We start from the raw sequence: 12,701 nt of genomic DNA on the forward strand, positions 1-12,701 counted from the left end.
CCGATGGGATTTCAAGATACTGAAATAAAATAATTCATGCTGGTACAGTGGATGCGTGATAGGAGACTCTCAAAATAATGCCTGTTTTCCGGCATATTAAGTGCTGGACACTAGAGCTAAAGGCTTTGAATACAAAGAGATAAAAGGTACAGCTTCTGCTTCCATAAACAGAGTCTAGGAGAGAGAATAACACAAAGATAATTGCACAGATTAAAATGTGAAAAATAGGAGAGTACAGGGAATTGGTGGTTGATGAGGCTGGATAAGTAAATGCAGCAGGTGAGGAAGGCACCTTTTTAGGAATCCACACTTTGGCTAGGTTTATGTCATCAAAGAGCCTAACAGCCTGTTTTTTTGTTTTTTGGTTTTTTTTTTTCACGTGACAGGATCTTGCTTTATTGCCCAGGCTGGAGTGCAGTGATGTGATCATAGCTCACTGCTGCCTCAAATGGTGGGGCTCAAGTGATCTTCTCACCTCAGCCTCCCAAGTAGCCTGGACTATAGGCACATGCCACCATACCTGGAATTTTAAAAGTGTTTGTAGAGACAAGGTCTTGCTATGTTGCCCAGGATGGTCTCAGACTTCTGGCCTCAGGAAATCCTCCTGCCTCAGCCCTGTAAAGTGCTAGGATTACAGGTATGAGCCGCCATGGCTGGCCGAGAGCCTGGTCTTTTAGAGTTAGATGGATTTGAGGATGGAGCTCAGTGCTATCCCTCACCAGCTGTGTTACTGTGGGCAAAATTGCTTATTTTTCTAATCCTCCCTTTTCTCAACCCCAAAATAAGAAGATTGCAATAGAATAATTCCCTCTAGGGTGGCTGTGTCAGTTAATGAGATCATGAATATGGACATGCTTAGCACTCAGTATCTTCCTGCAGCTTGCTAAAATAGCCACAGTGTATGCAAAAATGTAAATATCTTTCGGTATAACTGGGCTACAAATGATGGTAGAAAACATAATCATACCACTCCAAGGTCATTTCACATCTTCATGTTTAAAACAGACTATTCTGAAATAGTCATTTGATTGAGAAATTAAATTATCTGATTTCAACATTCACATGTGCTCTCTGGTACATTCTCTCCTCTCAAGCACTCTCTCTCCCTTTCCTCTGATTTTGTCTCAGAATTATAGTTGTCAATGAAAAGAGTCAAACCCTGTAAAACATTTGAAGAGATTTATTCTGAGCCAAATATGAGTGACCAATGGCCCACAACACAGCCTTCAGGAGATCCCAAACACATGTGCCTAAGGTGGTCAGGCTACAACTTGGTTTTATACATTTTAGGGACACAAAAGACATTAATCAGTACAAAAAAGATGTACACTGGTTCAGTCTGGAAAGGTGGGACAACTGGAAGGCAAGGGCTTCCAGGTCATAAGCAGATTCAAATACTTTCTGACTGGCAATTGGTTGAAAGGATTAAGTTATTACCTAAAGACTTAGAATCAATGGAAAGGAACGTCTGGGCTAAGGGGTTGTGAAGACCAAGTTTTTATCATGCAGGCAAAGTCTCCAGGTAGCTGGCTTTAGAGAGAATACATTATAAATTATTCTTATCAGACTTAGAGAGTCTGTTCTCTCAGTAATTTCAAAAGGGAGGAGGGTATAATGAGGCATGTCCGACCCCACTTCCCATCATGGCCTGAACTAGTTTTTCAGGTTAACTTCGGAATTTACTTTGCTGAGAGGAGAGGTCCATTGCAGTGGTTGGAGGGCTTAGAATTTTATTTTTGGTTTACATAGTCTTTGTGCAGGGGAACACTTAACAAAAAATGAAGGAGCAAGGGAATATGTGTCAGGTCTGGGTGCTGGTGGCTGGGCCCTGCTGGCTTCTGTAGGGGCATTTCACCCCGTTGGGTCTTTGGTTTAGGCTTCAGTCCTGCTGCATCCCCTGCTGGGGTCATTTGGTCCCCCTGGCCTTTGGATGCAAGTGAGCATCTGGGCCCACTGTCCTCCTACAAGGCCTCTGGTCCAGATGTCCTCACCCTGTGCTCACCTCACCCCATCCCTGGCCACCCTCAGTCTCTGGCCCTCTGTATCAGTTATTTATTGCTGCTGGAACAAATGCCTGCAAACTTAGTGGCTCAAAATAAAAACTTTTCTTAGAGGTCTGGAGGTTAGAAGTCCAAAGCAGGTCTCATGGGGCTAAAATCAAGGTGCTGGAGAGACTGTGCTCTTTCTGAAGGCTCTAGGGGGGAACCTGTCTCCTTGCCTTTTCTTGCTTCTGGAGGCTCCTACCTGTCTTTTATTATCTGATTTTCTTGCCTCCCTCTTTTAAGGACCCTTTTGATTATATCAGACCCACCCGGATAATCCAGGATAATTGTCCCAACTCAGGATTCTGTAAGCCAAAACAAAAATCCCAGGCCCCCCAACAGACTGAACAGAGCCAAGAGAAACCTGAAAAATGAAATTCACAATCATCATGGGAAGGGAGGTTGGACACACCTCGTTATACCCTCTCCCTTTTGGAGTTCAGCACAACTGACCAGCATTAACACTAAAATAGAGATCACAAGACTGACAAAACAGACTCTGTGGCAATAAGAGATCAAATTCCATCCTGACTCTAGTGTAGCATCACATGACAGATATCAGACCCTGAAGGAAATCAAAGTATTTTACCCCAAAATACATTTCTCTGACACTTTGAAATGGCCCTGCAAAGCTGTCTTGTGTGGGGAAAATTCTACATCTGTAGAGAACCTCCATTAATGCAGCCCAGTCTTTCTGGGATCTAGGAGAGATTAACTAAGAGTCTGACACCTTTAAGGTATGAAAAGACACATTTACCATCTATTCCCACTGAAGCCTGCTACCTGGAGGCTTCATCTACATAATAAGAACCTTGGCTTCCACAACTCTCCCCACCCGCTTACCTTAACCAAAGCATTTCTTTCTACTGATTTCAAATAGTTTAACTCTTTCAAACAATTGCCAATCAGATAATTTTTGAATCCATCTATGACCTGTAAGCTCCCCCACTCTTTGAGATGTCTCACCTTTCCAGGCCAAATCAATATATTCCTTACATGTATTGATCTATGTCTTTGCCTGTAACTTGTCTCCCTAAACTATATAAAACCAAACTGTAATCTGACCTCCTTGGGCACCCTTTCTCAGGACCCCCTGAGGCTCTTCCTGGAGCCATGGTCACTCATATTGGCTTAGAATAAACTCCTTTAAATATTTTACAGAGTTTGGGTTTTTTGTTCACAATTATTAATCACACATTTGCCAAGTAAGGTCACATACTCACAGGTTCTGGGGGTTAGGATGTGGACATGTTTGGGGGGCAATTGTTCTGCTTTCCATACCCTCCTATCATTCCCAACCCCTTTCTGGGACAAGCAGCACACACTGGATTCCCCCATGTCACTGATGGGCCATGGGAAAGTGGAGATGCTACTTTACGCCGTCCCGCTGCTGAAAGCGCCAAACTGCCTCTCCTCCTCCATGCAGCTGCCTCATGGGGGTGGGAGGCACCAGGTGAGGCCCCTTATCTCAGAGATTGAAGTGGAAAGAGTGGCACAAACCTATCTGGGTGTGTGTTATATGACATCATTCCTGGGGTACATAGGAGGCATGAATAAAGAGCACTGGGGAATTTTCAGCCTAAGCCTTGATGTGACAATCCTGCATTCCCCAATCCTTCCTGTTCCCACTATAATCAGGACCAAAAGAGCTGAATCCTGCAGGTAGTGAGCTGGGCTTGATTAGGAAATGAGAAGGTTCTGGGTGTGATGATCTAAGTTCCATATAGGTAGGCTCAGATGCATGCTGGGCTTGCTAGCTGTATCGGAGTTGATCTTTCTGAGAAGGTGAGTTCAAGCTCTGTTTCACTGGGTGGCAGGGAAAGTTTTGTTCAAGGCAGAAATGGAAAGTAGAGTCTCACACTTTGACACATAGGGAGAGACCCCAGTATCCAAAATCCCAGCTGCTGCAGCATACCCGTGGGCTCTCTTGAGGGCCCAGGAGGAGAAAGAACCTGAAAGCCAAGGTTGGTACGCTGTTATGGATTCCTGGTTTCCTCTGTGTGTGTGGTTGGGGGTAGGGGTTGGAGTACCTGTTCTCACATGCTTCTGTCCTCAATTTTAAGGTGTGGCTTCTCAGGAGTCTGTGTTCCCTGAGAACAGGAGGTGAAGAATGAAAAGGAAAATGGCTCGGTCATTTCTAGAGGTGATATCACAGGTGAACTGCTTACTTCTGATTTCCTTCCTAAAATACCAATTTACAGGGCTAAAGACATTTTGCATTTGTTCCACAAGGATGCAGCTCCCCATTCTGGTGATGAGGTGACAGTCAGAGAGGCAACAGAGGGGACCTAAATAACCCAGAAGCTTTCTTTAGTGACCCAAGATTTAGTATTCATTCAACAAACTGCTCAAGGTCTGACCCAAGATTTAGTATTCATTCAACAAACTGCTCAACGACTGACCCAAGATTTAGGATTCATTCAACAAACTACTCAAGGACTGACTGACCAAGAGGAGTCATTAGCACAGGTCTTCTAGGCATGAATTTGTTTGAAAACTTTTAAGCTGAAGAATAGGAGTCCCTGGGGATAGTGAGTTCAGTTTGAAGTTGGACAGCTTGCATGTGTTGGCAGCGCAGGGAGCAATGGCTTAACTTGCTCTCAAATCTATGGGAGAGCTGGAGCAGGGCACAGGCAGTCAGGTGGATGGGATGAAGGTGGAGGGATGCCACCATATTTCTGGGTAACAAAAGGGCACTCGTCCTGACAGACTTAAAATCCAACACATCAAACTATGCTAATTAAAATAATATAGAAATGATAATACGTTGATGGGTAAACAGAAGAAAATAGAAGGCCAGATACACATTGTGGTAGAATGAACAATCTCCCCCACCCATTGCAAAATGTCCCCATCCTAGTCCCTGGAAGCTGTGAATGTGTTACCTTACATGGTAAAAGGGACTTTGCAGGTGTCATTAAGTTGAGGATCTTCAGATGGGGGGTTTCTCCTGGGTTGTCTGGGTGGGCCTGAAATGTAATCACTGGGTCTCTGTAAGAAACAGGCAGGGGGATGCTATGTTGTTGGCTTTGAAGACAGGATAGGGCTGGCCACGAGCCAAGGAATGCAGGTGGTTTCTAGAAAAGTTGAGGAATCAGATTCTTCCTAGAGCCTGCAGCAGGGACACAGCACTGCTAACCCATATTGTACTTCTGAACTCCACAACTGTAAGATTATAAATTTGTGTTGTTTTAAGCCATGAAGTTGGTGGTAATTTGTTATGGCAGCAGTAAGAAACATTAGCCTCTCACTAATCCACATATTTAGGGCCCAATGTTTAGAAGAACTGAGTAAATGATGGAGATCACGTTTCCATTAGAGGACAGGCTGATTTAATTGTGGCATCAAATAACAATGTCCAAATATAATAGCTAGAATTCCATTGAATCATAAACGAATTTACCAAAACATCTTTTAAAATGAAGTCTGTGAAGACATTTTCATCCCTCAATCAGGCAGACCTGAGTTAAATTTTACTTCTGTAATTTTTAATTTTTCAAATTATATAAGAAATCTATCAATGTATGATCTTTTTAACAATGCAGATGAATAATTTTTTAAAGACCTTTTTAATCATTAACCCTACTCAACCACTGTCTTTAGTTTTTTACACAATAGATCTTTTTTTATATCAATAAAATATCAATTAAAAAAGATCTATTGTGTATAGATATGTAAAGTAACATCTCCACTTTCCCATGGCCCATCAATGACACAGGGGAATATGTCTATATTCTGTAAATTTTTAAGTTTTGTAATTTATTTTGGAGATGTTTCCGTAGCAGCACGCATAGATGGCCCTTATTCTCAACATCTGCAACGTGTTCTACAGTGTGAATTGTCCTGTTTTTGGACCTTTCTCCTGTTTATAGATCTCTATGTTTGCAGTATTTCAGTGGTAGACACAATGTTGCCATGAAGTCTCTACATATTCTTAAACTTTAAGAAAGCTATCTAGACTTAGAATTTCTGAGTCAAGGGCATGCACCTTTAACCATGTGAGATACTGTCAAGTCATGCTTCAAAAGTACTATGCTGACTTTGAAGTCCACAAATCAGTGTGATTGATGGCTTGGTTACATCCCTTAAAAACACTGGATAGTATCCAGGTTTTAAATGTTGTGACTGTCTCGCCAAAACAAGCAAGACTTGCTGCTAATATAATGCGCATTTAATTGAGAAGAGTTTGTCCACTTATTGATCATTTGTATGCTTTCTTCAGTGAACTTTTCATTCATATACTTTAGGCATTTGTCTAGTCTGCAGCTTCTATTTTTTTTTCTTATTGATCTGTATAAATTCTGAATGAGTTCCTTGTTGGTTATACAACATACTAATTTAAGTTTTTTCTGTGTCCCTTTTATTTTTTCACAGAGATTTTTCTCCTTTATAAGGTCGATTTTATTATTTTCTTTTATCTGGCACTTGAGTCTTTAAGACATTTTTCTATTGTAAGTCTGAAAATCCTCATTTTCTAACATTTTAATAGTTTTAATAATTATCTTTTATTTCATCTGGAACATAGTCTCATAGTCAGGGAGGGATCTTGCTCTCCCCCTACTAAGGGATATTCAGTTATTGCCTCAGTATTCATTGAATTGTTTCCCAACAGACTTGCAGGTCATCTTTTTTAGGCAGTAAACATTCCCATATTTGCATCTGTTTCTGGGCTCTCTTTCTTTGATCTCTTCATCTGTGCTGATGACATTCCTAACCCACTTGAATTACTACAACTTGACTCTGCACCCTGGCAAGAACAAGACCTTCATTAACTTTTCATGTAAAAAACTAGTCTGTCACATTTTTCCCTTGTGTGAAAATCATGTATCTGTTTATCACAGTTTATAAAATAATCTTAATGGATTTTTTAAATGGAGATACTATTGAATTTATGTATATACTTGGGAGACCTGACATGGTTCTAGTATTACTTGCAAAGAACTTTTGACTGTTCATATTGAGAGACTCTGTCAAATCTTTAGTTTTGACTGATTTATAATACTGGTCCAAAACCCAGTAGGTTCAAGACTCAAGAAGAGCTGATGCTCCAGTTTCAGTCTGAATCAGCAAAAAACCGATGTCCCATCCCATGCAGTCAGGCAGGACGAATTCCCTTATCATTCTGCTTGGGTGGGATTCTGACTTAGAGGTATTTGGTCATAATCCCACAGATGGTAGCTCTACCCCACTGACTCAGCCAAGCATGAACACCAAATGTATGTTTCCTTAGCTGTTACTTTATCATAAGTAATTTTGTCTTCCTAAACTCTACAAGAGTAAATCATACTTTTATTGTCTGCACTTTCTATTATAGCTTTTGGTCACATATTCTAATGTATCCTTATATCCTGTGTGATTCCCTAGAATGCCCAATTTGAAAGATATCTACCAGAGGCCACGTGGAGGCATGTATACATATAAAGTATAAATTGTTATTTCAGGAGTTGGTGAGATTTAGAGATGTGGCCGTGGTCTTCTCACCAGAAGAGTGGGATCATCTGACTCCTGAACAGAGAAACCTGTATAAAGATGTGATGCTGGATAACTGTAAATACCTTGCGTCTTTGGGTAAGGAAGGTCTTGTTAGTTCACAACTGCCCATGGGAGAATTTTCTCCTTCTGTGCAAATATCTGCAACACTCCCTGAAAATGCCAGTTGAATTTTCTAACTTCATATTCTTCAGTAAAGCATCGTAGCTCTGTGTTAAGAGAAGACATTTTCATCTTGGGATGATACAAGCTTCCTATTCCCCACTGTCCTCAAAATCATCACACCATTCTCCAAAACTATAGTCTGAGGCTGTCATATGCCTAAGAAACAGCTGGGGAATGGTTTAAAATGAAGATGGTTTTTTATACAAAAACACTGCTTTAGAGGTTCTGGGAAGATTGAGATGTTAATGAGATTCCTCATCACTAAAAATGTGGGTCTAAATTCTGTAATAACCACAGCATGGTCAAGATCATTTATTTTTCTTAGGAAACTGGACTTATAAGGCACACGTGATGTCCTCTTTGAAGCAAGGGAAGGAGCCCTGGATGATGGAGAGAGAGGTGACAGGTGATCCCTGCCCAGGTAACAAGCAGATGGAAGTCATCACAGCTCACACCTCAACTCAGAGTAACCTGGACACTCCCCCTCCAACCCCCACCAGGAGGTGACAGGAGAAGAGCTTTCCCCTGGGCTTCTGTCCATGAGTTTCCAAAGGAATCTTTACCCCACGTTTATCACTCTCCCTGTACCCTTTTTGTTATAATTCTAGTCTTAGGACAGTAAACGGTGTGCTGGGAAAAGTTTGGAATTTAAGTTACTACCCAAATGGATAAAAGGATGAATAGCTGAATAGGTCAAAAAACTTGTCAGTGATTACAATGAATGAATGGGTTAGCTCGGAAAAGTGTCACAGAAGGTTTTTTTTGTTTTTTTTTTTAAGAAAATTCTGGAGAGAGACTGATTTTCTCTTCAGGTTATTAGTTTAGAGAATGACAAATCAGGAAAACAAATTTACCATCTAGTTGGAAAGAGACGACTACCTTCATTAACAGAAGGTAGAACTCGCCAGAATGTAAGATGATCCAGAGATTTCAGAGAAACTTGTTTCTCGAGTTTCAGTGCTGACATCAGGGAAGGCAGCTCATTCATAGGCTCCTAAAAGTCAGGGGATAAAAAGCTGGGTTAGATGATGATGAATTTCGGTCTGGAGTATCATTTTATCTAAAGAGTAAAATACCAAATTCATTTAAGCTATGGGCATTTTGGAAAGTGGACTGGAATCCACTTATTAAAGATTTTATAAGAATTGTTCACAAGAATTCCAAATAACCCTGTTTATTCTTTAAATACTTAATAACTTGGTCCAAACTCCTCTCCTACCCCCAAAATACTTCTTTTCTCTCCCTTAAACTTTCATTTTTTATGCACCTCTGAACATTTTTCTATGAAGTTATAGTCACTTTCACATTTACTGCAAGATGTTTTTCGGATCTCTCCACTGCCGCCTTGTGGCTTTAGAACACAAATCTGTTTACTTTGTTTTGTGACATATTTGAATAAAACCATGTATCCTGTTTAGGGCTGGCAATGTGGTAGTGGGAGGGTTGGAAATTGGATACAAAAATTGAGTCAATCAATTGTCACTGTTGCTCTAGTCAAGATTCCATCGTTATTTTGTATAACCTTCATTTATAATTCATTATGTCATTATGTGCTAGACAGCTGGTCTAATATCTTTTCTATGTTGTTAAATAGCTGGGTGTGGTGGCACATGCCTGTAGTCCCAGCTACTTGGGAGGCTGAGGCAGGAGAATCGCTTGAACCTGGGAGGCAGAGGTTACAGTGAGCCAAGATCGTGTCACTGCACTCCAGCCTGGGCAACAGAGTGAAACTCTGTCTAAAAAAATAAAAATGCATATACTAATTGTAAAATATGCACGATTTTATATATGGCTGCACTCTTATTTAAACAGCATGCTGCACAAATCTCACTTCTTACCTTTCTACTTGGCTGTTTCTGAAATCTTTACTTGTTATATCTACATGTCTTTTTAGTGCCATATAATATTCTTTAACATGCATCCATCACACAGCCAGTTTTAAGGAAAAAAAATCCTAAATCTCTACAATTCCTTCTGACCCAAATCTCACATGCTCCCTTTAGAATGTATAACAATTTTCTGGGTCACAGGGCATATTATAGTTTGACAAAACGTACCCAGATTACTTTCTGGACATCTGTGAATTTTACACTCCACCCACATTACTTGTCTTTCCTGCATCTCACCACTGCTTGCTAACATTTGCATTTTAGTTGGCTCCATTTTGGTAGTTTTGTCTCCTTGTTTTAATTCTCATTTCCCTAATAGTAAGATGAAGCTCACATGATATTCTCGTCATCCACTCACTATTCAGCTTTTTTGAATTGCTTCTTCATGTTCTTTGCTCATTTTCTAATTTTTTTTCTTTTCTTTGTGGAATTGAATATATTTCATGTTATATATAAGGTATTTTTTGGTTTAAAATGTACGGTTACTCCTGTCAATCTGTCATTTGCCTGTTGACTCTGGGGCTTCTCTTGATCAGAAATCCTTCGTTTTTTATCACATCCATAGCATGTTTGACTTACAGCATTTGCTTATTGTCTTTTTGTTGTTGTTTAAGAAGCCCACTGCATCCTAGACCACAAAGACATTCTCCTATCAGCATTACGGGTTTAAAATTCACATTTTAATCTGTCTATATTTGTATATGGCATAATGGACAACCAGCCCCATTTTCTCTGAACAATGAGTCAGTTTTTACAATACCACCCACCAAAGCATCCATCCTGTCCTCACTGACTTATGATGCCATCCTTACACACAAGCCATCAGTACTATACATCTATAGAAATCATCTTCTGAAATTTCTTTTATTCCATTCGTGTATTTGTCTGTTCTGGATGAGTATAATATTCTTTTTTATTATAGCAGTGTGGTTTTCTAGTTATCCATCATAGTGGGTTCTTTTATTTAAAATTAGTTTCATATTCTTGGAGTGTATTCTTTCACTGATAATCTTGCTTCAAGTATTTTGAAGCTCTGTGGGTGCAAAAACACCTAGAATTATGCTCTGTTAATTCCTTATCCTTATGAAATAAACTTCTTTATCCCTGGAAATACTTATTACTCTAAAATGTATTTTGTCTGATATTAACATAGCTATTCTAGCTTTCTTTTAACTGTTAGCATGGTATGTATTTTCCTAACGTCTACTTTCTAACCAATTGTGTCTCTAAAGTGAGTTTCTTGTAGTTAGCAAATAATTTGGTTTTACTTTCTCATATAAGCTTGATAATCTCCACCTTTTCGTTGAGGTGCTTATACCACTGGGTCTCAATGGGGAGAAGGGAAGATCTTGCCCTCTAAGGGCACCTGGCAATGTCTGGGTGATCTTTTTGGTGGTAGTAACTGGGTATGTAGGCATGCTGCTGGCATCTAGGGTGTAACAGCCAGGGATGCCAAGATCCTACATGCATGCGACAGCCCCCATAACAAAGAATTCTCTGATACAAAGGTAAATAGTGCTCAGGTTGTGAAATCTTGTGTTTTTATTTTTACATTTACTGTGATTATTGATATGGTTAGGCTTGAGCCTAAATCAAATAGATTTCTATTTGTCATATCTGTTCTTCCCCCTTTTCTCCTTTATTCTGCTTTATTATCCTTACCCTATTTTGGATTGATTTTTTTTTTTTAGGATTCTATTTTATCACCTTTATTGGCTTATTAGCTGTAACTCTATTTTAGTGGTTGTGTTGGGATTTGAGTTTATGGTATCTGTCTTTAACTTATCACAATCTACCTGCAAGCGATAGTATACTCCTTCATGTAGAGTGTAAGAATTATACTGTAGCTCTTATTTTATATATATATATATATATATATAAATACCATAATTTATCTCCACCTGCCTTTATGGCGTTGCTGTCATACATTTTACTTTCACGTTATAAGCCCCACAATACATTATTTGTGTTTAATCAGTCAATCTTTTAAAGAGATTTAAGTAATAGTAATAAACCCATACATATTTACCAGTTACATTTCAGTTGCTTTTCATTCCTTGGTGTAGGGCCAAATTCCCATCTGGCATCCCTTTTCTTCTGCCCTGCAGGACTTCCTTTAAAATTACTTGTAGCGCAACTCTGCTAGTAATGAATTCTTTCATTCTCTGTATTTCTGGAAAGGTCTTTTGTTTGTCTTCATTTTTGAAAGCCATATGCTGGGCATAGAATTCTAGTTAATAGTTTTTTTTTTTTTTTTAGTACCTTAAATATTTTGTTCCATTATCTTTTATGCTTGCAGTGTTTCCAGTGAGAAATCTGATGTCATCTTTGTCTCTGTGCCATGTACATAACGTCTTTTTCCCCCCTCTGGTTGCTTTTACAGTTTTCTCTTTATCACTGGCTTTGAACAATTTCTTTATAATGTGTCTGAGTGTAATTCTCTTCATGTTTCTTATTGTGTGATTTGCGCTTCTTGGATCTGTGAGTTTATAGCTTTTACTGTGTTTGAGAATTTTTTGCCCATTATTTCTTCAAATATTTTTCTCGTCCCTGCCCCCGACCCCCTTCCCCCTCTATTTCAGAGACTCTAGTTGCCCAGATGCCCAGTACCAACATGATGAAGTTGGTAAATCTTCTACACATTTTTAATAGGACTCACATTTAATGGATGGTAGTACTTTCTTTTAATCCTGACTTCTCTTTTATATATTCTATTTCTCCAGTTCCTTCCCTCTAAAAGAATTCTCCAACCTGCTATTTCATCTTTGGCTATGTAATTTTGCTATAAATGCCAACCATTAAGTTCATTTAAACATATCTTCAGGGTGGGTGTGGTGACTCATACCTGTAACCCCACCACTTTGGGAGGCTGAGGCGGTCAGGCCACTTGAGGTCAGAAGTTTGAGACCAGCCTGGCCAACATAGTGAAACCCGTCTCTACTAAAAATACAAAAATTAGCTGGATGTGATGGCATGGCCAGCTACTCGAGAGGCTGAGGCAGGAGAATCACTTGAGCCTGGGAAGCGGGGCTTGAAATGAGCCAAGATCATGCCATTGCACTCCAGCCTGGGTGACAGACTCTCTCAAAAAAAAAAAAAAAAAAAAAAATTAAAA

General features: G+C 39.6%; 1 protein-coding gene across 1 annotated transcript in view; it reads right to left on the reverse strand.

Annotated features, from left to right (window-relative positions):
• Window positions 1–12,701, reverse strand: part of ZNF334 (zinc finger protein 334) — a 51,247-nt gene that overhangs the window by 14,665 nt on the left and 23,881 nt on the right. Inside the window, exons 7-8 of the transcript XR_007067464.1 lie at window positions 8,552–8,691; window positions 7,598–7,741 (exon numbers count right to left, since the gene is read on the reverse strand). The gene's annotated coding sequence lies outside the window, so the exon portion shown is untranslated. The remainder of the gene's footprint in view (window positions 1–7,597; window positions 7,742–8,551; window positions 8,692–12,701) is intronic.

This window comes from Homo sapiens, chromosome 20 (genome assembly GCF_000001405.40).
Source record: "Homo sapiens chromosome 20, GRCh38.p14 Primary Assembly".
NCBI classification, from domain to species: domain Eukaryota; kingdom Metazoa; phylum Chordata; class Mammalia; order Primates; family Hominidae; genus Homo; species Homo sapiens.